At 37.9% G+C, this 27,182-nt stretch overlaps 1 protein-coding gene and 1 pseudogene across 7 annotated transcripts in view, besides 1 other annotated feature; one reads left to right on the top strand and one right to left on the bottom strand.

The window, feature by feature from the left end:
• Positions 1-27,182, top strand: part of TAF4B (TATA-box binding protein associated factor 4b) — a 165,241-nt gene that overhangs the window by 54,932 nt on the left and 83,127 nt on the right. For 3 of the 7 annotated variants that reach the window (XM_024451239.2, NM_005640.3, XM_011526153.3), the window contains exons 6-9: positions 595-684; positions 4,506-5,123; positions 10,870-11,005; positions 12,050-12,155. In XM_024451239.2, the coding sequence (XP_024307007.1) occupies positions 595-684; positions 4,506-5,123; positions 10,870-11,005; positions 12,050-12,155 (950 nt within the window). Of the gene's footprint in view, positions 1-594; positions 685-4,505; positions 5,124-10,854; positions 11,006-12,049; positions 12,156-13,818; positions 13,939-23,394; positions 26,886-27,182 lie in introns of those variants that run through there. The other 4 variants (NR_121653.2, XM_017025932.2, XM_005258339.4 and 1 more) reach the window with 4 other exon arrangements.
• Positions 2,915-3,115: a silencer, noted in NCBI's record as "peak3086 fragment used in MPRA reporter construct". NCBI's record gives its function as "represses an SCP1 promoter by STARR-seq MPRAs in K562 erythroleukemia cells {active_cell/tissue: K562}" and the evidence as "EXISTENCE:reporter gene assay evidence [ECO:0000049][PMID:32103011]".
• Positions 17,782-17,879, bottom strand: LOC124904383 (uncharacterized; annotated as a pseudogene).

Raw genomic sequence — 27,182 nt, forward strand, 5'->3', positions numbered from 1 at the left:
ATTAAGTATATAATATGTCCTATTAGGCAAAATTTTTAAAACTATATTTTATACATTTGAAAAGAATAAGATAATTCAATCAGCTACATCTTACACATTATCACTGGCATCAAGTTATTTTGGAAGTACTTCTACTAATTCTGGAAATGTTGTCCCTGGCTCTTGTGTGCAAAGAACACCAGCAGGCTAGCAGATTAATTTCCAAATCGTTGTAGAGAACTTAAACCCTAAGGTCTCCAAACTGAGTAACTTCCTGTTCCCCACCCTAAGAAATTTAAGACACGCGTGCCTTCAATTCTTAATTGTTCTTAACAGATTGTAATAATGTAGTATTACTTAACCCATCAGCTCTTCTCTTTGCTTCCTGTGATCTTTAAAACAAAAAAAATCACCCCTTCATTGTATTCTCTATGAATAAACATCTCTATCATTTATGCTTACACATTTCATAGGTGGCATGAAGAAAAAAGCCTATATTTAATTGACTTTATCATTTGTGAAAAGTTTGCTATGTCTACAATCATGAATTATATACTTTGTCTCTTTTAAAAGATTTGTAGACTTAAAATTGTTTCTATTTCTCCCATCCCTCAGGATGCAAAAATCGAAGCAGAAGAATTTACTAGGAAACTGTATGTTGAACTCAAGTCTTCACCTCAGCCTCACCTGGTTCCTTTTCTTAAGGTAGAGTTATGTGTCACTTAGAAGAAATAATTTGGATTAGATTACTCTAAAATAATTAAAAATGGGAATATTTCAATATGACAGCAATTGAATGTGAAGATACTGACAGTGTGGGAGAAACCTCTGAGTGCTTTTGTAAGCTATAAAGCGTGTTCATAATATTATTTTAATTTGGACACTTTGAAAAAAGAGAAGTAACATTTTATTCATGAACATAAGTTCATTATTATATTGTTTAATACTTGTATGAGAATATACAGACATACCACAGAGGTACTGCAGGTTTGGTTTCAGACCACCATAAGAAAGCTAATATCACAATAAAGTGAGTCATATGAAATTTTTGGTTTCCAAATGCATATAAAACTTTATGGTATACTTTATTAGGTATACAATAGCATTATATTTGAAAAAACAATTACATATGCTAATTAAAAAATATTTTATTGCTAAAAAGTGCTGACAATCATCTGAACCTTCAGCAAGTTATAATATTTTTGATGGTAAAGAGTCTTACCTCAATGTTGATGACTTTTTGCTGGTCAAGGTGGTGGTCACTGAAGGTGGTCACACCCAGCTGTGGCAATGTCTTAAATTAAGACAACAGTGCAATTTGTGTCATCAGTTGATTCTTCCCTTCACAAAAGACTTCTCTGTAGCATGCAGTGCTGTCTGATAGCATTTCACACACAGCAGAACTTCTTTCAAAATTGGAGTCAATTCTCTCATACCCTGCCATTGTTTTGTTAACTAGTTGTTGTCATATTCTAAATTCTTTGTTACCATCCTAACAACATTTATAGCATTTGACCAGGGGTAGACTCCATCTCAAGAAACCAGTTTCTTTGCTCATCTGTAAGAAGCAACTCCTCATCTCTTTCAGTTTTGTCCTGAGATTGCAGCAATTCGGTCACATCTTCAGGCTCCACTTTCAACTGTGGTTCTCTTGCTATTTCTAGCATATCTGCAGTGACTTCTTCCACTGAAGTTCTGAACCCCTCATAGTCATCCATGAGGATGGGGATCCACTTCTTATGAACTCCTGTTAGTGTTGATATTTTGATCTCCTGCCTGACTCATAAATATACTTAATGGCATCTAGAATGGTGAATCTTTTCCAGAAGGTTTTCAGTTGACTTTGCCCCCGGATTCATCAGAGGAATCACTGTCTATGGCAGCCGTAGTCTTACAAAATCTGTTTCTTAAATAATAATTGAAAGTAAGAATTACTCCTTGATATATGTGGGCTGCAGAATGGAGGTTGTGTTAGCAGACAGGAAGACAATAATGATCTCCTTGTACATCTCTATCAGAACTTCTGGGTGACGAGGTGTATTGTCAATGAGTGGTAATATTTTGAAAATAATCTTTTTTTTTTTTCTTCTGAGCAGTAGTTCTCAACAGTGGGCTTAAAATATTCAGTAAACCATGCTGTGAACAGATGTGCTGTCATCCATGCTTTGTTCATTGATAGAGCACAGGCAGAGTAGATTTAGCATAATTCTTAAGAGCCCTAGGATTTTTGGAATAGTAAATGAGCATTGGCTTCCACTTGAAGTCACCACCTACATTAGCCCCTAACAAGAAAGTCACAGCCTGTCCTTTGAAGCCTTGAAGCCATGCGTTGACTTTTCCTCAGCCAAAAGCTATGAAAGACCTAGCTTCCTCCAATAGAAGGTTGTTTTGTCTCCATTGAAAATCTGTCGTTGGCCAGGCGTGGTGGCTCACGCCTGTAATCCCAGCACTTTAGGAGCCCAAGGCAGGCAGATCACCTGGGGTCAGGAGTTCGAGACCAGCCTGGCCAACATGGAGAAACCCTGACTCTACTAAAAAAAATAAAAAAGTTAGTTGGACGTGGTGGCGCATGCCTATAGTCCCAGCTACTTGGGAGGCTGAGGCAGGAGAATTGCTTGAATCCAGGAGGCAGAGGTTGCAGTGAGCCAAGATCGTGCATTGCACTGTAGCCTGGGTGACAAGAGTGAGACTCCGTCTCAAAAAAAAAAAAAAATCTTAGCTATATCTTCTGTATGATTTGCTGCAGTTTCTACATCAGTACTTGCAGCTTTACCTTGCACTTTTATGTTAGTTATCAAGAGAGCTTCTTCCCTTAAACTTCATGAGCCAGCCTCTCCTAACTTCATACTTTTCTTCTGCAGCTTCCTCACTTTTCAGCCTTCATAGAATTGAAGAGTTAGTGCTATACTCTGGTTTAGACTTTTGCTTAAGGGAATGTTGTAGCTGGTTTGATCTTCTGTCCACACCACTCAAACTTTCTCCATGTCAACAATAAGACTGTTTCGTTTTCTTATCATTTATGTGTCACATGGAGTAGCCCTTTGAAGTTCCTTCAGGAATTTTTCCTTTGCATTCACGACTTGGCTGTTTGGCACAAGAGTCCTAGCTTTCCATCTCTGTTGGCTAAACAAATGAAAACTCCAGGAATGAAAAGGCACAACCTATTAGTTTTTAGTTTGAACTGCCTTTACTCTTTAAGTAGGATACAAAGATAGATGCTGACAGTCAGAAAGTATGCTTGGCTGGGCGTGGTGGCTCACGCGTGTAATCCCAGCACTTTGGGAGGCCGAGGTTGGCGGATCACCTGAGGTGAGGAGATGGAGACCAGCCTGGCCAACATGGCTGTCTCTACTAAAAAATACAAAAATTAGCCAGTGGTGGCATGTGCCTGTAGTCCCAGCTACTCAGGAGGCTGAGGCAGGAGAATCTCTTGAACTCAGGAGGCAGAGGTTGCAGAGAGCCGAGATCACGCCACTGCACTCCAGCCTGGGCAACAGAGTGAGACTCCGTCTCAATAAGAAAAAAGAAAATATGCTAGCTCAATTCTTTCAGATCGTAAAATTCACTTTGTATTTAATTTTGTTTTGATGTAAAGATATTTCTTTATTTTTATTTAAAAAAATTTTTTTTGAGATGAGGTTTTGCTCTGTCACCCAGGCTGGGGTGTAGTGGTGCGATCACAGCTCACTGCAACCTCAACCTCCTGGGTCCAAGTGATCCTCCAACCTCAGCCCCTGCGGTAGCTGGGACTACAGGCATGCACCACCATGCCCTGCTAATTTAATTTTTGTGTTTTTTGTAGAGACGAGGTTTTACCATGTTGCCTAGGCTTTTAAAGACTATTTCTTCCTTTCCTTTTTTTTTTTGTTTTTTTTTTTTTTGGAGATGGGGTCTTGCTCTGTCACCCAGGCTAGAATGCAGTGGCATGATCTCAGCTCACTGCAACCTCTGCCTCCCGAGTAGCTGGGACTACACGTGTGTGCCACCACGCCTGACTAATTTTTGTATTTTTTGTATAGATGGGGTTTTGCCATGTTGCCTAGGCTGGTCTCAAACTCCTGGCCTCAAGTGATTGCTTACTTTGGCCTCCCAGAGTGCTGGGATTACAGGCATGAGCCACTGCACCTATTTCTATCCAAAGTTTGAAAGTTACTTAATGAAGAGACCTAGATTCTGCTGTGGTTTAAATAAACTTATAGATACTGAAGTTACTAATGATCTATTATAGGGTTTAGATGATTATAGAAAAGTATAATACAGTGTTTACCAAATTGATATTGAGGGAATACAAATAAGTTTAATACTGAGATATAGTAATTTCATATTGGAAAACAGGCACTTGGGCTTTAAATTGATTGTATCCTGGATATTGGCAGGATATAAGTAAGTGATACAAGCTGTCTTCAACTGAAATACTTGATACACTTTTGATTGGTTTTAAGTTGTAAAGGTATGAAATACCACATTTTGTTTCACAAGTAGCTGATTTGTTAGCAGTGTTTTTTTCCATTCCTCTGCATTTCCAGAAAAGCGTGGTTGCCTTACGACAACTTCTGCCTAACTCCCAGAGCTTCATCCAGCAATGTGTTCAGCAGACTTCTAGTGACATGGTCATTGCTACCTGTACTACAACAGTAACAACTTCTCCTGTGGTGACAACTACAGTGTCCTCAAGCCAGTCTGAAAAGTCAATTATTGTTTCTGGAGCAACAGCACCCAGAACTGTGTCAGTGCAAACTTTGAACCCACTTGCTGGTCCAGTGGGAGCAAAAGCTGGAGTTGTGACACTTCATTCTGTGGGCCCAACTGCTGCAACAGGAGGAACAACAGCTGGAACTGGTTTGCTTCAGACTTCAAAACCACTTGTGACATCTGTGGCAAACACAGTGACCACGGTCTCACTGCAACCTGAAAAGCCAGTTGTCTCTGGAACAGCAGTAACACTGTCCCTTCCAGCAGTAACTTTTGGAGAAACTTCAGGTGCAGCTATTTGTCTTCCATCTGTGAAACCTGTTGTTTCTTCTGCTGGGACCACATCTGACAAGCCTGTTATTGGGACTCCAGTTCAAATCAAACTTGCCCAGCCGGGCCCTGTCCTTTCACAACCAGCTGGGATTCCACAGGCAGTTCAAGTCAAGCAACTAGTGAGTAACATTTTGTTTCTTCCCCAGTTACTTATTTTGAAAATTTTGAACATTCAGAAAACTGGTAAGACTAGTAGAAAACTAGTAAGGCTATATACTGTTTACGGGTTTGACCAATTAATTTTTTTTTTTTTTTACCTCATTTGCTTTGTTTTCCTCTTTCTACTCACACCCACAAACACACATATAAGTCCTTTTTTTAAAGACAGAGTCTTACTCTGTCGCCCAGGCTGGAGTGCAGTGGCACGATCTCGGCTCACTGTAACCTCCACCTCCCAGGTTCAAGCATTTCTCATGCCTTACCCTCCTGAGTAGCTGGAATTACAGGTGTGCACCACCACGCCTTTCTAATTTTTGTATTTTTGTTAGAGATGGAGTTTCTCCATGTTGGCCAGGCTAGTCTTGAACTCCTGGCCTTAAATGATCCACCCGCCTTGGCCTCCCAAAGCACTGGGATTACAGACAGGCAATGAGCCACCACGCCCAGCAGCAAACACACACGTAAGTCTTTACTGAACCACCTGAGAGTGGTTGCAAAAATTATGACAGTGCATGGTGTATATCTCCTAAAAGGTTTTTTTTGTAAAACATAACCACAACATACCTGTTGTCACACACAGGAAATTAATATTGGTACAGTATTTCTGTAGTTGTCCCAATAATGTGTTTTTATTTTTATTTTTTTGTAGAGAGAGGGTCTTGCTGTGTTGCCCAAGCTGGTCTCAAACTCTTGGCCTCAACTGTTCCTCTCGACTTAGACCTCCCAAAATGTTAGGATTACAGGCATGAGCCACTGTACCTGGCTCATTTAATCTAGAATACTTCTCTAGCTTTTTGTGGTTGTTTATTATATTGTAATGTTTTAAGTGCCCAGAATATTTGCAGAATAGTCCTTTGTTTTGTCTGATTGTTGTGTTTTTTTGCTAAACTTGGTAGGTTGGGAGGTTCTTGGGTGAAAGAAGGAAATTTTAGCTGTTTGTCGATTAGTGTTTAGAATGTTCTTCTTTATTTAAGAAAAGGTAAGTTTTACCAGAAGGCTATGAAAGTATTGTTAACTCATGGGAGATACTACATGATGCATTAATTAAAAATCATAACGTTTTTAGTAAAGTTCTTCCCTATCTTCTACGATAACAGAGCTTGCTGTTCTTTTGGTGAATGTCCTTGTTCTCTTTTGTAATGCTTTGCATTAGACGCTGTGTTTTAAATCTCTGTTTTGGTTCATTCTGCTTCTTGGGTAGCCTTTCCAGCCCTGTTTGTTTTATCAGAATAAGAGGTATCTGAGTGATTGTCGTCTGAGGCAACAGGGCAGCTTTGGACATAGAATGAAAGGGGTTGATCCGTGACCAGAATTGGAGAGTAGTCAGACTCTTGAGCAGATAAATGATGGTCATTTCCTGGGCACTAATCTTTTCTCATCCCTTCCCACTCTGCATCTCATTTTCAAGTGGGGAAATGTAACTGCCTTGCAGGATTTCTCTTGGGTACGTGAATTTAATCTCAGAGATGAAACAACATTTTTAGAAGCAGTGATTCTTAAACATTGTTCTGGGCAGCCAGGTTTGAGAACCACTGGAATAGAGGAATTGCCCCAAGGAAAGGCCTCTTTTTGGTAGCACTGAACAGAATTGAAATCCTCTTTATATGTCATAGTTGTTTCTTGAATCAATGCTAATCTTTATTGAGCATCTATAGCATATAGGTCCCTGGGGTGAAATAATACTTTATAGCTACATAGTTTTAAAAGCATGTCATTATATGCTATGGATTTTAAAATAATTTTATGATAAAAAGGTAGGGAGAAAACTAAGAATCCAGAAATTCTGAGCTGACTCATCCAGTAACAGTTAAGTGGCCGGGCGCAGCGGCTCATGCCTGTAATCTCAGCACTTTGGGAGGCCGAGGCGGGCGGATCACCTGAGGTCAGGAGTTTGAGACCAGCCTGCCCAACATGGCAAAGCCCCGTCTCTACTAAAAATACAAAAATTAGCCAGGTGTGGTGGTGGGCACCTGTAATCCCAGCTACTTGGGAGGCTGAGGCAGGAGAATGGCTTGAACCCGGGAGGCAGAGGTTGCAGTGAGCCAAGATCGCACCACAGCACTACAGCCTGGGTGACGAGCGAAACTCGTCATCTCAAAAAAACAAAAACAAAACAAAACAAAAAACAGTCAAGTAATGGATCTCAGACTAGAACCCAGATGACTTTTCCATTAGGGTATGGTGCTCTTAGAAAGAACTTCTAGGTTTCTGGAATGTCCTGAAGCAGGAAGCTGTCTCATGATAATATCTTGACAGCATTTTTGTTTTGTAGGTTTGACTTGTTATACATTATAAATCATTTCAATAAAGAAATAATGCAACAAAATTTGATGGTAAATTTTAGGGTTTTTTTACTTCCTACCTTCATTTTTAATAATTTCATTTTCCCTGTGAATTCTGCTTTCTTGTTTGTCCTTTGTTTCAAGTTTAGCCAGTAAATTTGATGTTAGTATTTACACCTACCTGTTTAAAGTGGCAAGAGCCAGAGTGGCCAGACCCTGAAGACAGATTGTAATTTATTTCACAACAGATTTACCTGGAGCAAAACAACATAAACCATTCTATATGGTAATGCCATAGAGAAGATTGAACTAGGGCATTCTTTCAAATAAACTAAGTTAGAAAATTAATATTACTCGTTTGAAAGTAATTAAAGAATACCATCAGTGAATCTATTATAAACCATAGTCCAATTTAATCCTAGTTCTAAGTGAGGAGGAAAACACTCAAGTTGCTATAAAATAACGTATTCCATGCAGCTTATAAGAAATATGGCAAATAATCATTTAAAATATAAGAATTACTGCACTGTATCAAATCTGGGGTTCATCTAACTCCATATGGTCTGAAGAATACACACTTACTTCCTTTAATAATCATGGATTTAAAAATTCCTTTTTAATGTTTATTTCTCATTTGCGTTTGTTTTGTTTGTTTTGTTTTGTTTCGTTTCGCTTTGTTTTTTAGACAGTGTCTTACTTCTGTCACCCAGGTTAGAGTGCAGTGGCATGAACATGGCTCACTGCAGTCTTGACTTTCCGGGCTCAGATAATCCTCCCACCTCTGCCTCCTGACTAGCTGTGACTGCAGATGCAGACCATCACACCCGGCTAATTTTTCTATGTTTTTAGTAGAGACGGGGTTTCGCTGTGTTGCCCAGGCTAGTCTTGAACGCCTGAGCTCAAGTGATCCGCTTAGTACTATGGTTTTATTTGGTGCTTTCTTTGAAAGAACATTAATGAATTCTCTTACATTATCACTCATTTTGTTTTTCTCAGCAGATGTTCAGGAGTGTACCTCCCATATTTTTGTTAGACTAGACATATACATTGTTCCAGGTGTTAGAGTCATTAAGATGGGAAGTGATGGGGATTGAAGGTTGTTAAGTCCCAATACAAAACTGTATTATAAAATAAAACTGTGTTATATTTTTGTGTACCCATCAAAAATAGTATGAAGACTAACTGGTGTCAGCCTAAATAACAGAAAGGCTTTTTAAAAGAATAAGACATTTAATTGGTAATGGAGCATTGCAATGGGAATACAGGTGCCATAGTAAACTATGTGTATTCGGGGAGGTAAAGGAAGACAAAAGTTTTTTTATTTTTAATTTTTAAAGACTCAGGGTTTCATTTTGTTGCCTAGCCTGGAGTGCAGTGGTGCCATCATGGTTCACTGCAGCCTCGATCTCCTGGGCTCAAGCAATCCTCCTGCCTCAGCCTCATGAGTAGCTAGGACTACAGGTGCATGCCATCATGCCTGGCTAATTAAAAAACTTTTTATTTTGATTAGAGACAGGGTCTTGCTATATTGCCCAGTCAGGTCTCAAAATCCTGGCCTCAAGCAGTCTTCCTGAGTAAAGGAGGACGGGTTTTAAAAAGAAAAATGAGAATTATATAGTTGTTTTGAAATGATTATCCTTGACTGCAAAGCTCAGTAACAAGGGCGACACCAGTCTGAGTTTAAATAGGCAGTTGCTGAGCAGATGATGTCCTTGCAGTATTTTTTGTGTACTGTTGCTATGGCCTTTGTGCAAGGTTGTGGTTTTGGTGGTCTATTGGGATAGTTTTTGTGATTAGGCATACAAGCATGAGAACCCCCTCTTAGTCTTCCCTAGCTCTATTTGTTAGAGTTTTGTTTTTGGTTTTCTTTCAAACACGAGTGACTTCATTTTGATTCTGACAACTTTCACACTGGTAAACAATTTTTGAATATTACTGTCTTTCATAATTAAAATACTGACAGGAATACCTAATAAGGAGCATCAAGGAGGACAGTGCATATAATAAGGAAATAAGCTGGGAGTGTTTCTCTTGAGTTTCAGTCTGAATGCATAAAATGAGACCTGTATATTACTTTGTAAAATGTAAGCCTGGTCCCTAGAACTATAGTACATGAATATGATCTCAGCTTCATTGAAATGTATCATTTTTAAAAGAGTTCTTGTCTATTCTCAAAGAATAAGGGCAATTGAATTATTCTAACTAACATTTCTTCTCTAGGGGCATTAGTTGCTATAGGATTACTTACCAGGAATGTTGTGTTTCTTGTTACTTTTTTTAAAGTAATACACATAAGTTGAATAAATTGAACTCTAAAAATTCTGTTTAGAAGTCTGTCTTTTGGCAAGACCATGGCACATTTATATTTGCCATATATGAGTGAAAGTTCACTATCAATAGCTGGCTCAAATACATGATGACTGTTTTTCTACCTGTTTTGTTTTGTCTTGTTTTTTTGAGACAGGGTCTCACTCTGTCACCCAGGCTGGAGTGCAGTGGTGCAATCTCAGCTCACTGCAGCCTCCGCCTCCTGCTTTCAAGCGATGGTCTAAGAAAATACTTTAGACCGGGCGTGGTGGCTCACGCCCTGTGTGATCCCCGCTGGGATTACGGCTGGGATTACACCTGTAATCCCAGCATTTTGGGAGGCTGAGGTGGGCGGATCGCTTGAGGTCAGGAGTTCGAGACCAGCCTGGCCAACATAGTGAAACCTAGTCTCTACTAAAAATACAAAAATTAGCCAGGCCTGGTGGTGCGTGTCTGAAATCCTAGCTACTCAGGAGGCTGAGGCATGAGAATCGCTTGAACCTGGGAGGCAGAGGTTGCAGTGAGCTGAGATGGCACCACTGCACTCTAGCCTGGGTGACAGAGCAAGACTCTGTCTCAAAAAAAAAAAAAAAAGAAAATACTTGGTTAAAATGGCACATGAAAAGTCCTTACCTTTTAAAGATATATTTTGAAATATTAATGGATACAACGATATATCTGAGATTTGCCTTAAAATAATTGAGGGCGGCAGGGAAGTGAGTAGGGGTGTAGATGGAAACAAGATTGATCAAGAATTAATCATTGTTGAAGCTGGGTAATGGTATAGATGGTTTTGTTTTATCCTGTCTGTTTTTATACATGCTTTAAATTTTTCACTATAAGTTAACAATTGGAAATCGGATTTATAGGGAGATTTAAATTGAGTATGGTGAAATAAAATTTAAATTCCACTCTGAAAATAATGTATGTGAGATAGTAACGTTTTTCACTTTTGAACAAGATAATTTTGCTTCATACAAATTTAAAGTAGGCATTCTTGTTAAGATAAAGGTATATTTATGGCTGGGGGAACACAATCTGTTGTTTAAAACTGAAATCTTATCCTTTTCTAAAGCCTTAAGTTGAACAACTATATTGATAGTTCTCATTGTTTCAGGTAGTTCAGCAGCCTTCAGGAGGCAATGAAAAACAAGTGACCACAATTTCACATTCCTCAACATTGACCATTCAGAAATGTGGACAGAAGACGATGCCAGTGAACACCATAATACCTACTAGTCAGTTTCCTCCAGGTAGATGCTGGTCCATCTCAGTCCCATCATGCTGGGTTAGAACATGAAGGGGTTTTGTATAACTTTTTTGTTGCTGTGTTAAGAGAAGAGAGGTTTGGTCTTTTAAAGTTGGCACCCATTGAGAGAAAACAGAAAGATAATCGTTAGATTTCTCTCCCCAGACGGAGTCTTGCTCTGATGCCCAGGCTGGAGTACAGTGGCATGATCTCAGCTCACTGCAACCTCCACCTCCCAGGTTTAAGCAATTCTCATGTTCTCACCCTCCGGAGTAGCTGGGATTACAGGCGTGCACCACCACAGCTGGCTAATTTTTGTATTTTTAGTAGAGACTGGGTTTTACCATGTTGGCCAGGCTGGTCTCAAACTCCTGACCTCAAGTGGTCAATCCACCCACCTTGGCCTCCCAAAGTGCTGGGATTACAGGTGTGAGCCACTGTGCCCAGCTATGATCACATTTCTTTTTACATACATAGAAACTTTTTAGGGTTATATGTTGTTTTGGAATAAAAAAAGCAACTATTCATGGTATTCTGTAATTTGATAAAACAACCTATTAGTAAATAAGGACTTATTTAACTTATAAAATTTGCTATAGATTTTTTCTTCTTAAAATGTAGTTCTTTCTCTATGTACACACTTGTATGCATGTACATGCATGCATATGTATGGAAATCAGTCTTACCCAAGTCAGGTAGACTGGGAAATCAGTCTTACCAATGTCAGGTAGAGCTTTATGTATTTTTAAAAAATACCAATATAAGCAATGTATTATTAACATGTTTCAGGTGCCTTTTACCCATGATATTTTTATAATACTGCTAACATAGACTATCTAAAAAGAAATGGAAAGATTCTTATTTTATAAGATTATTTCTTATTCAGGGAATAAATTCATTGTCATGTTTGAATTTAAACATAGTTCTAGGGCAGCTTGGAATTTTCTTTGATTATTCTATATATATAAAAAACGGTTGTCCTGGATTTTTCCTAATGTGGTGTGATTGCTTTTTTTGTATTCTATTTTTTCTTGTTTTGTTTTTATAGCTTCCATTCTAAAGCAAATTACTCTGCCTGGAAATAAAATTCTGTCACTTCAAGCATCTCCTACTCAGAAAAATAGAATAAAAGAGAATGTAACATCATGCTTCCGGTAAGAAAATAAATAGTTAAATTTGGTTTAAGGAAGTAATTTTTTTTTAAAAAGGAGAGATGACAGAATAATACCTTACTAAAATAGATATACTGATGCCTTTTTACAAAGCTAACAGTACTTTATTGAGTATAATTTATAAACAATAAAATGCACAACTATTAAATGTACAGCTTGGTGAATTTTGTCAAATATATATACCTGTGTAATCATCATGCCGATCAAGATACTGAACATATTCATCACCTTTATGCACCTTTGAAATCAATTACCCTTATCCCCTGCCTCTGGCAGCTACTGTTCTTACGTCCATCACGATAGATCATTTTTGTCTATTCTTGAACTTCACATAAATGGAGTTTTACGTTATTATGTACCCTTTTGCATCAGACTTTTTTACTCAACATGTTTTTTAGAGCATCTGTGTCATTTGGAATATTAGACGATGGTTCTTTTGCATTGCTGGGAAGCATTTTATTTTATGAAATTAAATTTGTTGATCTTTTTCACTATTGATGGACATTTGGGTGGTTTCCAGTTTTTCTGATGATTATATAATAAAGCTTCATGTACAGAATTTTGCATGAACATATGCTTTTGCTATCTAGAAATATGATTGATGAGTCATTAGGTAAGTGTGAATTTTGGTAGGGAAACTACCAAATTGTTTATCAAAATGACAGTATCATTTTGCATTTCTGTCATTGATGATGAGCGTTCTAGTTCCTGTCCAACTTTGTGAGCAATTGGTAATTCTCAGTTCTTTTGATATTTTAAAAATCCATTTTAATAGGTGTATAAGTGGTTATTATTGTGGTTTTAGTTTGCATTTTTCTAATGGCTAAAGATGCTGATCATCTATTTTTGTGCTTATTTGTTATTTATATATCTTTGGTGAAGTGTGTGTTCAAATTTTTGGCCCATTTTTGTTTCTTGCATTGGTTTCTTACGATCAAGTGTTTTTAAGAGTTTATATATGCATAAACAAATGTTATATTTGTATATATTTCTTATATATACAAATATATAAAATAAATTTTTATATAATTTCTCCCTTTTGCATTTTTATATGTACAAATATATAAACAAACATATAACATTTGTATATATATGTATCATACATATTTATTTATGAATATTTATATTAAAAATATGTATATATACAGAAATATAACATTTGTATATATAGAAATTATGCAGTTAAAGTGGGGGAAAGCAGAGAAAATAGAACATGTACACAATAGTTTTTACATAGGTAATAGATGGGAATTAAAGGATGACGATTAAGAAAAAGGGCAAGCCTGAAACGAGATCTTCTGGAACAAAGCATAGGAGAAAATCTTTGTAACCTTGGGTTACACACATTTCTTAGATAACACATGAAAAGAGTGATCTACAAGAGGAAAAATTAATGAACTGGAATTCAGAAAATTAAAAAACTTTTGCTCTGTGAAAAACACTGTCCAGGAAATGAATAAACATGCCACAAGGAAAATATTTCCAAATTGTTTATCTGGCAAACATTTGGATCTTAAATATATATAATATATATATTAAATATATATATTTTAACTGCATAATTTATATATATATTTCAATATAATATTTGTATAAAATTTGTACCTTAGTCTTCCTCATCCCCCCATGTACATTTTATTTGTAGGTCTACTTTTATATGCGTATATTAAAATGTTCACCATCGGTCTTTTTTTCTGTCGTGTTCTGTCATCTCTTGGTTGGATGAAGTTCATCTGCTGGTAAATTCCTCAGGAAAGGCTCACAGGTATAGAATTCCCTAAGTCATTGGTCCCTAACATTTTTGGCACCAGGGACTGATTTCTTGGAAGGCAATTTTTCCACAGACCAGGATTGAGGGGGAGGGGATAGTTTCCACTTCAGATAATCAGGCATTAGATTCTTATAAGGAGCACACAACCTAGATCTCTCATTTGTGCAGTTCACAGTAGGGTTTGTGCTCCTATGAGACTCTAATGCTACCACTGATCTGACAGGAGTTGGAGCTCAGGCAGTAATGCTCGCTTGCGCACCTCTCACCTCTTCCTGTGCAGTCCAGGTTCTAACAGGCTACGGACTGCTACCGGTACATGGCCTGGGGGCTGGGGACCCCTGTCCTAAGTTGTTGTATGTTAAAACTATTTTTCAGTGTCTTTTGATACTTGAAGGACAGCTTGGCTGGCTGTGAAATCAACACTTTTTGTATTACCTTTTTTTTAAATGTTGCCCCATTGTTGTCTTATTCTTATTTGATCTTTTTGTCTGAAGAACTTCAGGATTTTTTATTTTTGAAATCTCATAGTTTTGCCCTAGAATATGTTGTAAAGGTGGTGGTTCCTCAATTCCTATTTGGCCCTTTCAGTATGTAGATTCTGGTCTTTTGTAATTTTTGGAAAACGTTCTTGGAGTATAGTTTTAAATATTAGTTCTTGTTCACGATTTTGTGTGTGTGTGTGTGTGTGTGTTTCAGGGAGTGTAATAGTATGGATTTTAGTCCTTTTGCCTCTCTTTCATTCCCATTACTTTGTCTCTGACCCTTTTTTTACCCTTTATTTATGTCAGTTTTTCCCTTGTTTTTCCACCTTTCTTCAATGCCTCTTTTATTAGAGTTTTGTTTGTATCTATTTGCCGTGGGAAAACTGTTTGGTCCTTTTTTGTCTTGCAGCACTCTAAATTTTCCCCTTTTGCATTTTCTCCGCTTCCAAATGGTGCTTCTCCCTCTCCTTTTTGCCTTTTATTCCTTCCAAGAATCTGCACATTTCAGTCTGCCAATTTAAATTGCATGTAGTCATGCTTTGATTTATGGGAACACCTTTTTAGCATTTTCTGACTTGGGATGTATTTAGTCTTATGCCCACCACTGGCTCTGCCCTGTCTCTCTTTTCTGCAGTTTTTTTTCCATCTCTTTTTGCCTGTAGCAAGCCTTGAGGCATGGGGTGGGGTGGGGAGGGGTAGATGAGATTGAGAAGATGAAAAAGTTTGCATGGGATTTGTTTTTTTTTCCTTTATAGTTTGGAGTTTGGGTATTCTGGAAGACAGTAATCCAGGCAGTCATCATCATCTTTCAGTTTAATGACTCTTGACAAAAAGCTAAACCCATGTACCAAGTATCACTGTCAGGATACATGGAATATTTTCAATACACCAAAAAGATTCCTTTGCACTCCTTACCAGCCAGTCCCCACATTACACCTCAGGTTCTGCACAACCATTGATCTGCTTTCTATCATTGTAGATTGGGTTTGGATTTGTCCTTTCTAGAGTTTTGCATGAGTGGCATCTGTCAAAGTCAAATTAAAAATGTAGAGGTAGGCCGGACACAGTGGCTCATGCCTGTAATCCCAGCACTTTGGGAGGCCGAGGCAGGTGGATCACTTGAGTCAAGAGTTCGAGACCAGCCTGGCTAACATAATGAAACCCTGTCTCTACCGAAAATATAAAAATTAGCAGGGCATGGTGGTGCATGTCTGTAGTCTCAGCTACTTGAGATGCTGAGGCAGGAGAATCAGTTGAACCCTGGGAGGTTGCAGTGAGCTGAGATTGCGCCACTGCACTCCAGCCTGGGTGACAGAGTGAGACTGTCTCATTAAAAAAAAAAAAAAAATGTAGAAGTGAATCTCTAAATTTAACATTTTATTTGGGGAGAAAGAATTGCAGTTCAAAGCATACACACAGACCAGATCATCTCTGGTATGTCCGAAGAACAAAGAGAAGGCTGGAGATTAAAAAAGAGACATGACATGAAATCCTCTTCGAGAAAATTCGTTGGCACTGTTAAGGTTCTGGGAAGCTGGTCAGCTCTGATTGACATGTGAAGGTGGTAGGCAAAATAGTTCTAGAGTTGCAGCAAGTTGTCTCAGCAGTTATAGATTAAACTGGTCTCAGGTTACAACAGGCAGTTTCAGCAGCTGGACTCGTAGAGAATTACATTTCTAGAGCAATGTTTTGTGCCCTGCATGCTTTCCCCCTGGCTTCTCTATTCTGTTTTAGTTGGGTATGACATGAGTGACCCAATTCATATCATCAATATTCACACATCATACAGTTCATGTTGTGTCTGGCTTCTTTTGGTAGCATAATGTGTTTTATATATACCATGTTGTTGTATGTATCAGTAGTTGCATTTTTTATTGCTGAGTAATATTTTATTATACAGGTATATTGCTTTTGTTTGCACTGAATGATCACTTTATCTGTTGATGGATATTTGGGTTGTTTACAGTTTTTGGCAATGATAAAGCTTGCTGGGAACACTTGTGTCTATATCTTTGTATGGACATAGATTTTCTTTTCTATAAATACATAGAACAGAATTGCTGAGTCGTATGGTAGGTATATAAGCATATGTTTAACTCTATGGGAAGCCACCACACTAGTTTCCTAAATGGTTATACCATTTTTCCATTTCCACCAACAAAGTATGAGATTCTGTTCTAGTTGCTCTGCATCCTTGCTAACAATTGATACTGCAGTTTTACTTTGTCTCTCCCCGCCCCCCACCCCTCCAATTTTAGCTATTCTGGTTTGGTATGTAGTTGTAGCTCACTGTGACTTTAATTTGCATTTCCCTAGTGACTAATGATGTTGAGTGCATTTGTTCTTATTGCCCATTTATGTAACTTCTTTTGTGAAATATGTGTTCAAATATTTTGACTGTTTTTGTTGTAATTAATTAATTAATTTATTTATTTTGAGACAGAGTCTTGCTCTGTCACGCAGGCTGCAAGGCTGGAGTTCAGTGGCAGGATCTTGGCTCAGTGCAAGCTCCGCCTCCTGGGTTTATGCCATTCTGCTGCCTCAGCCTCCCGGGTAGCTGGGACTATAGGCGCCCGCAACCACACTCTGCTAATTTTGTTTTTGTATTTTTAGTAGAGACGGGTTTTCACCATGTTAGCCAGGGTGGTCTCAATCTCCTGACCTTGTGATCCGCCCTTCTCGGCCTCCCAGAGTGCTGGGATTACAGGTGTGAGCCACCGTGCCCTGCCTGTTTTTGTTTTATTTTAAGAAACAAGGTCTTGCTCTGTTGCCTAGGCTGGGGTGCAGAGGTGCAATCCTAGCTCACTGCAGCCTCAGACTCCTGAGCTTAAGCGACCCATCTGCCTCAGGCTCTCAAGTAGCTAGGACTACAGGTGTACATTACCATGCCCAAGTAACTTTTTTTTTTATTTCCCATTTATTGTAGAGACAGGGATTTCACTATGTTTCCCAGGCTGGTCTTGAACTCCTGGCCTCATGAGATCCTCCCACTGCAGTCTCCCAGAGTGCTGGGATTACAGGCATGAGCCACCATGCCCAGCCTATTGCCTTTTTTTTTTTTTTTTTTTTTTTTTTTGAGATGGAGTTTTGCTCTTGTTGCCCAGGCTAGAGTGCAATGGTGCAATCTCAGCTCACCGCAACCTCTGCCTCCCGGGTTCAAGTGATTCTCCTGCCTCAGCCTCCCGAGTAGCTGGGATTACAGGCATGTGTCACCATGCATGGCTAATTTTGCATTTTTAGTAGAGACGGGGTTTCTCCATGTTAGTCAGGTTGCTCTCCAACTCCTGACCTCAGGTGATCTGCCTGCCTCGGCCTCCCAAAGTGCTGGGATTACAGGCGTGAGCCACCATGCCCAGCCCTTTTTTTTTTCTTTTTTAAGGCACAGTGCTCTACATGTTCAGAGAAACTTCTCTAGTAAAGAACTATAGAAATGATCCCTGAAAGTATAGTCTTCCTATTGCCTGTTTTTAAACTGAGTGTTTTTGTCATGAACTTTTTCTGCATCTATTTAAGGTGGTCATTGATTTTTCTTATTATTCTAGGATCATGAATTACATTGATTTTTAAATTTCTGAATGTTCTTGCATTCCTGGAGTATTAGCCTTTTTATTTATTGCTGCATTGATTAATGTTTTGTAAGGGTTTTGTGTTGATATTCATGAGCGATTTGGTCTATAGTTTTTTGTTCTTAGAGTGTGTTTGCCAGAATTTGGTATCTGTGATTATATTGGCTTAAAAAAAATGAGTCATAGTCTTCCCCCCCTCCTTTGTTTTAAGCTTTTGTGTAGAATTGTTATGATTTCTTCCTTAAATGTATGAATGAATTTACCATTGAAACTAGATAGGTCTGTTGTTTTCTTTGGGAGAATGTTTTTTGACAAAGTCAATTTCATTGATAGATATAAAGGTATTTAGATTTTCTTTTTCATTTTAATGCCAATTTCATGAAGTTGTATTTTTTTAAGGTTTTTGTACATTTCATATTGATTTTCAGATTTATCAGCAAGAAATTGTTCCTAATACTTTTCTTTTGAATGTGTATAGATGCTTTAATGGTAGTATAGTATATACATTTTTCAAGGATTTTATTTTTGTAGTTGACTTTTTCAGGCATGAAATTAATTTTATTTCTTTATCCTTTTAATGTCTATAAAATATGTAGTCTCTCTCTTTTTATTAGTAGGCTTTTATCAGTTTTGTTAATTTTTTTGTTGTTGAGACAGAGTCTCACTCTGTGGCCCAGATTAGAGTGCAGTGGCACTTCAAACTCCTGGGCTCAAGCCATCTTCCTAGCTCAGCCTTATGAGCAGCTGGGACTACAGGTGCGCATCACCATGCCCGGCTAATTTTTTTAATTTTTATTTTTTGTAACAATGAGGTTTCACTATGTTGCCCATGCTGGTCTTGAACTCCTGGGCCCAAGCAGTCCTCCCATCTTGGCCTCCCAAAGTGCTGGGATTACAGGCATGAGCCACTATGCCTGGCTTGTTTTCTAATGTAGGCATTTATTATTATTATTATTATTATTATTATTAATGTAAGCATTTAAAATTATACATTTCCTCATTTGAGCTGAGGCTACAAGATAAAAACAACAACAACAAAAAAATCCTATCAATTTCTCCCTAAATACTGATTTAGCACCCAACTGATTATAGGGTGTGTTTTTTTTTTTTTTTTGCCTTTCCATTCATGTCAAGATAGTTTCCTTTCTTTAATTTATTGGTACAAATATTTGATGCTTTTCTGGAATATTTTATTTGTTTTCTAATACAGTTTTGTGATCAGAGAACATATTCTTGAACATATAATTTCAATTTTATTAAATTTATTGAGACTTCTCAGTGTGACTAATTTTGATTAATATCTCATGAGCACTTGGGAGAAAAATACGTATTATTCAGTTTGGGGAAGTAGTTTTTTGTTGTCTACATCAGTTTGGTGAAGGTGGGTGACAGTGTTCACATCTTCTATACCCTGGGCTTTTTTTTGGTTTTATTTTTCAGACTGTTTCCATCACTTACGTAGAGTGGGTATTAAAATCTCCCACTCTGATTTTTTTTTTCCTTTTGCTTGTTTTTTCCTTTAGTTCTGTCAATTTTTGTATTATATATTTGAAGCTCTGTTATTGGGACATCTCAAGCCACTAGTCATAGACTAGGGAGTGCATAGACTAGGGAGTGCTTTCAGACCAAAAGACATAAACTCACAAATTTTACCCATTACTGTTCCCATCATCCAACGGTTGACTTACCTCTGTTTTCTGCCTGCCTTTATTAAGTCTCCAAATGATTGCCTTTTAAAAACTGTTTGTAGATTTTGTAATTGTTATTGATCAAACTATTGTAGCATTACTAGAAACCACGACCATCATTTCTTTTTTAATGGATTATTGTCCTGTGGTATAGTTGTTTGCCTCTATGTTCTTGAACAATTAATTGTAGTTATTTTATTGTGTGCATGTGTGGTTTTCTTTGGTTGTTGTTGTTGTTTTTTTTTTTTTTGAGACAGTCTTGCTCTGTTGCCCAGGCTGAAGTACAGTGGCACAATCATAGCTCACTGCAGCCTTGAACTTCTAGGCTCCAGTGATGCTCCTGCCTCAGCCTCCCAAGTAGCTGGGACTACAGGCATGTGCCACTATGCCTAGCTAGCTTTTTTTAAAATTTATTTTTGTAGAGGTGGGGTCTTGCTTTGTCTCCCAGACTGGTCTTGAACTCCAGGCCTCGAGTGATCCTCCTGACTCAGCCTTCCAAAGCGCTGGGATTATAGACATGAGCCACCACACCCTGCCATTTGTGGTTAAAGTCAAATGCTTAATGTTTCCAATGTCCGGGTTACCTGTGACTCTATTTCTATTATCTGGCTTTTTAATCCCGTTTCTTTGCTGCACTTGGTAATATTTAATTAAATGTCAGATCTGTATGAAAAACATTGGTAAATGCCTCACTTATTAATAGGATCATGGTCCATTCATCCCTCAAGTTCTGGCAGCCTTGGACTTCAACTTCTTGTCTCTCTCTCTCCTCATGAGATTGCCTAATGCTCTGTTGGCTTTTCTGCCTCTTAGCAGCTGCTGGCTCTGTGGTTTCTTAGTGTCTTGTTCCACGTCAAGAATCAGCATGTGCCCAGAGGAAAAAAAACATGGAGAAATTTGGGGTTACTTCAGTGAGGTTCTCTTCTCTCAGGGCTGTCGTCCCTCAAGACCTGGCTCCCTCGGCAGCTCTCTGATGCCTTCAAATAAACTTAAAATTGTTATGGCTTTATTAGTTTCTTGTCCTCAAAACAATTGTCTGATTGTTTTGAGGTTACAATGGTCTGTAACAGAAACAGAAGTCCTTTTTAATTCTTTATACTTTTTTTGTGTTACACATATCTACTAGAGTTAGTGTTTTGCAATTTACTTTCTTTTATGGTATATTTTGATGAACAGAAATTCTTAATTTTAAAGTTGTTGAATTTGGCAGTTTCTTTTATGATTAATACTTATGCCTTATTTTAGAGATCCTTCTGGAGATCACAAAGATAGTCTCCTATATTGTCTTCTAAAAGTTTTGAAGTTTCATATTAAATTTTTTTTTTTTTTTTTTTTTGAGAAATGGTCTCTGTCACCTAGGCTGGAGTGCATTGAGTGGCACTATCATGCCTCACTGCAACCTCAAATTCCTGGACTCAAACAAGCCTCCAGAGTAGCTAAGACAACAGGTACACGCCATAACAATTGGCTAGTTTTTAAATTTTTTGTAGAGATGAGGATCTCGCTTTGTTGTCCAGGCTGGTTTCAAACTGGTGGCCTCAAGTGATCCTCCTGCCGCATCCTCCCAAAGTGCTGGGATTACAGGTGTGAGCCATCATGCCCAGCCTATTTGAATATCTTTTTGTCTTCAGGAGTTAAAATTTGGTTTTTGTTTTTGCTATGGTTTGGAGGTTTAGAGATCCTGATTCGTTTTTCCCCATATAGGAAACCACTTGTTCTAGCAGCATTATTGAATAATTTGTCCTTCCTCAGTGATCTGTAATGTCTCCTATGTCATATATATATGGATCTTCTCTTTTTTTTAATCTTTCTTTTTTTAAAATGCCTCTAATCAATAGTTAATCTTTTTTATCTCTATTTCATTTTATTGGTTAATTTTAAAATTTCCAATAGCATACAGTTTAATTTACTATAATTTCAAAAGAAGTTTTATATTTGGTAATGCATATTTTCTACCTACTTCTCCTTCTTCTTTATTTCCTTTTCTTCCTCCACTTTCATACCCGCTCCACTTTCATACCCCCTCCACTTTCATACTCCCTCCACTTTCATACCCCCTCCACTTTCATACCCCCTCCACTTTCATACTCCCTCCACTTTCATACTCCCTCCACTTTCATACCCCCTCCACTTTCATACCCCCTCCACTTTCATACCCCCTCCACTTTCATACTCCCTCCACTTTCATACTCCCTCCACTTTCATCCTCCCTCCGCTTTCATCCTCCCTCCGCTTTCATACCCCCTCCACTGTCATCCTCCCTCCACTTTCATACCTCCTCCACTTTCATACCCCCTCCACTTTCATCCTCCCTCCACTTTCATCCTCCCTCCACTTTCATCCTCCCTCCACTTTCATCCTCCCTCCACTTTCATCCTCCCTCTACTTTCATACCCCCTCCACTTTCATACCCCCTCCACTTTCATCCTCCCTCCACTTTCATACCCCCTCCACTTTCATCCTCCCTCCACTTTCATACCCCCTCCACTTTCATCCTCCCTCCACTTTCATACCCCCTCCACTTTCATACCCCTTCCACTTTCATCCTCCCTCCACTTTCATCCTCCCTCCACTTTCATACCCCCTCCACTTTCATACCCCCTCCACTTTCATACCCCCTCCACTTTCATACTCCCTCCACTTTCATACTCCTTGGCTCTACTTGGGCTTTTGCTATTCCCTATACATTTAATGATCAACTTGTTAAATTCTACCAGTAATCTGTTAGAATTTGAATTGGCGTGGCCTGAGTCCATAGGCCCACTGTCTTCCAGCTGATTTATTATAATTTGGATCCTTCTATGAACATGATTTATATCTCCATTATATATACCTTTTTAAACATCTTTCAATAAAGTAGTATAATTTTATTTATGCAGATTCTGCATGATTTGTTGCATTTATCTGTTAGATTTATTCCTAGATATCTTTCTTGTTGTTATTATAAGTAATATTTTTGGTAACTGCCTTTTCTTTTACTAGCATAGAGAAATTCAGGACTTAAAAAAATCATATACCAACAGCCTTGTTATTATTTCTAATAATTTCTAGATGATTTTAGATTATTTATATAGACAATGTCAAGATTGAGATTAGAATTATAGGTCGACTGTTTTTTTTTTTTTTTTGCTTTGAAGATGTTATTCCATTGTTTTTGGGTGTTCATATAAAATATATGTTCACATTTAAAGATAAACATGCAAGGAAGTATCCTTGAGTCAAGCTACAGGGAAACAGTAATACATTTGGAATTCCAGTGACTTCAAACATAGGATGATCAAATAGTAAGTGTTAAAAAATAGTATAAAGTATTTAAAAATAAAATACGGAATCTCAAGAATGAGCAAGAAACTATTTTTAAAAATGACTGCAAATACTTGAAAAAGAACCAAATAGGACTTTTAGAAGTAAAAAATGTAGTCAATAAATCTAAAACTTTGTGGGACAGGTAAATCAGATTAAACCTGAGGGTCTAAACTGAGTTTGCTTTCTTCCAGAGAGGATTTGTGACTGTTTCTAGTAGACCCAGGGATTACTATTGACTTGGAACCACTTTAGTCTTCTTCCTGGGAACTTGACTTACCCAGGAGTCTCAGATACACTTTTCCCATTGTAATCAAGAACTAGTGCTAGCCACAGTCATTTGCCCTTGAGGCAATTCTTCCTTTAGGATATGCTTATTGCTGATTTTTACTGACACCTTTTTTTTAACAGGTCCTGTGAACCAAACAATGGAATGAAAATGTCTTATGCTGTGTAATTGCTCCTCAGTAAATCTAGTCCACTTACTGCCTGAAGGAAAAATGTCACTATAAGTATTTTCTTTGGGAAATTTCTGACTTATTACTTTCGCCCATTTATCTGTTGACTACTTATTGCTTTCCAGACTTATGTACATATGCTGGACAGTAGTAATTCTTTGATATATACATTGTAAGTATTTTTCTCCTAGTTTTTTGTTTAACTTGGAAATTTGTTTTTAGTGTTTCATATATGGAAAATTTAAATTACAGTATAAAGTTTAGCAGTCTCTTCCTTTATGGCTTTTGAATTCTAATGTATCCTTTCGTATTATGAGCCCAGAATGATGTGCCTTCTGTATCTTCTTCTAAGATACTTGTATGCACTTACCTCAAATACAGATATTTACCTTTATATCTTCAATAATTCTTGATTTTATTTTTGTAAATGTGTGAGGCAGAGATTAAATTTTCCTCAAATGAATTGTCTGAGCAATAGTTAGTAAAGAGTTCATCATCTTTAACTTTCTTATTTGCAATGCCACCTTTATCTTATAGTAAATTCCCATTTAAAAAAGGGCAAATTTCATTTTAGTGATATGTTTTTGTTTTATTTTATTTTATTTTTTGAGATACAGTTTCACTCTGTTGCCCAGGCTGGAGTGCAGTGGTGCGATCTCAGCTCACCACAACCTCCACCTGCTGGGTTCAAACGATTCTCGTGCCTCAGCCTCCCGAGTAGCTGAACTACAGGCACGCGCCACCACTCCCAGCTTATTTTTGTATTTTTAGTAGAGACGGGGTTTCATCATGTTGGCCAGGCCAGTCTCAAACTCCTGACCTCAGGTGATCCACCTGCCTCGGCCTCCCAAATATTTGTTTTGTTTTGATATTACTATTTTGGTGTTTTCGATTGTTATAACATCTTTATTTATTTATCTAGCCCATAGTTAAAGTAAGTCCTTTTTCTATATTCCTTTTTATCGAAGGTATCTTAATTTTACTTGTTATTTTTCTCTCGTGCATGAATTTTAGAATCAGCATGGCAGTTCCATGAAGTTTGTATAGAATTGTGTGATTAGGTTAATTTGGGTGGTGGGGGCAGAGAATTGGCTTAAAGAATTTTCTTTTTACGATATAGAAGATTCCCATCTGAAACCATGGTTATATTTGTTAGAATTTGGTAAGGTTGTAGGGAACAGAAAAACTGAAAAGCCATTGCATAAGCAAATTATCTCTCATATTCAGAAAAACTGAATTGCAAGGATCACGGTCTGTGGTGTTAGGGATCCGTGCTCCATGTTTGCCTCCTTTCTGTTCTTCGGACACACTAGTCATGGTCCTGATGTACAATTTTATTTATTTATTATTTTCTTTAATGTTTTTAATGTTTAATTTTGGGGGGTACATAGGCGTATATTTATGGGTTATGTGAGATTTTGATAAAACCCACTGTATAGTTTTTGATGTGGTATGCAGTGAAAGCTGTCCCTCAGTCTTCATATGACATGGTCTTTCATATATCAAATCTACCTCCTTAGAGAGGTAAATTTTGCTTGGCCAACCAACATAAAGTAGCTTCCACAGTGATATCTGCTGTCTTGAGGTACTTATCTAAAATTATTTTGTTCATTTATTTGTTTACCCCTGCTTCCATGTATTTCCCACTTCTTCTTAATCGTCTATGAAAGCTTACAATGATTGTTTACCATTGTATGTATACCGAGTGTTTAGAACAATGCCTGTTTCATAATAGGCATTCAAATATTTGTTGAAATGGTGAGTTTTGGAAAAGGAGTATTTATAATCTCAGCTATTTCTTAGATATTTTTGTACAAAGGTGCACTTTTCATTTTTGTACAGTACTTTCTAGTAATTCACAGTCACACATGGCTTTATGCATATCTTTTCATAGTGATGTCTTTTTAAATTTAATTTTGCTTCCCTGGATACTTACATCACTTCAGTTATTTATTTATTTATTTATTTATTTATTTTTTAAGATGGAGTCTCACTCTGTCTCCCAGGCTGGAGTGCAGTGCACGATCTCGGCTCACTGCAAGCTCTGCCTCCTGGGTTCACGCCATTCTCCTGCCTCAGCCTCCTGAGTAGCTGGGTCTACAGGCACCCGCCACCACACCCGGCTAATTTTTTTTGTATTTTTTTAGTAGTGACGGAGTTTCACCGTGTTAGCCAGGATGGTCAGATGGTCTCGATCTCCTGACCTCGTGATCCACCTGCCTCGGCCTCCCAAAGTGCTGGAATTACAGGCATGAGCCACCGTGCCCAGCCTTACTTCAGTTACTTTTTAAATGAAACTGATAATAGACCCTCGATGTTGGCTCTTTTGTTAAATAAGAAGAAATAGTAGCGAATAATATTAGCTCTTGTCTTGACCAAACTGTATGACATTTAATAATATAGAATGATATTTTCATAGTTTTTAAAAACTATTTTGTTAACTTACACTTTTCGGGGGGATTCATTTGTGACTTTTTCTGCTAAGAAGATTCTGTTTTCTATTCTGCTTGTCAGTATAGCTGGGGTGAATTTGGGAAGCTGTATTGTGCTTAAACACCAGAGGGTGCCAGAGATTCATGTTCTTTCCATCATACTTCAGAATCAGAAGTGGCAAACAGGATAGTACCTCTGCATGTTTGCATAACCGTATTTCAACTGAAGATGTGATGATAATAAGGAATTAATATCAATATTTTTATGTGATCATTTATTTAAAGTCCTTATATTTTAGAGATACATAATAAAATATTTATGGATAATATCTATATACTATATCTGGTAGTGAAGGTGTTTTAACAACTAGGGGTTTTAGTGTGATTTTTATTACTTTAAAAAGACACTCTTGGAAAATAATATAGGACCAGATTATGTGCTGTTTGCATAGATGGTATTACTCCATCAATTTTAATGTCCATTTTTTCCATACTGCAGGAATTAGATTGTCTAGTGTATATTAACTTATTTAACTTTCATCATATATAATTCATTGTTTTATGTATTACGAGTCTGTTTGTCCTTGTGTATGCTCACGCTTGTAATCCCAGCACTCTGGGAGGCTGAGTTGGGAAGATCACCTGAGGTCAGGAGTTCGAGACCAGCCTGACCAACGTGGCGAAACTCCATCTCCACTAAAAATACAAAAATGAGCCGGGTGTGGTGGTGCGCCTGTAGTCCCAGCTACTTGGGAGGCTGAGGCAGGGAGAATTGCTTGAACCTGGGAGGCAGAGGTTGCAGTGAGCCGAGATGGAGCCATTGCACTCAAGCCAAAAACAAAAAACCCCCCAAAATTAGTTGGGCATGGTGGCGCACGCCTGTAATCCTAGCTACTTGGGAGGCTGAGGCGGGAGAATGACCTGAGCTCCGGAAGTGAAGGCTGCAGAAAGGTGAGATTGCACCGCTGCACTCCAGCCTGGGTGTCTTAATAAAAAAGAGAGAGAGAAAAAAGAAATGAGGTTGTTGAACATTCCAAGTGAATTATATGAGTGAAGACTTGGAGATTATATTGTGAAGTCTTTCAGAGTTTTTAGTCATATGTTGTCATAGTAAAGTTATGTTCAGGAAAATTTATCTGTGTACTTTAGTGCAGAATAAACTGAGAAGGAGGACGTTAGAGGTAGGTACACCATGAAGTGAAGGTTGAAGTTATATAGGTAGGAGATAGGGCATATCTTATTTATTTGTCATGAGCATTCTCAAGAATGGTCAAAGCCAAGAGACAGTTATAATGCTGTGGTGTGAAAA

The sequence above is a fragment of the Homo sapiens genome, chromosome 18 (genome assembly GCF_000001405.40).
Source record: "Homo sapiens chromosome 18, GRCh38.p14 Primary Assembly".
Lineage (NCBI taxonomy): Eukaryota > Metazoa > Chordata > Mammalia > Primates > Hominidae > Homo > Homo sapiens.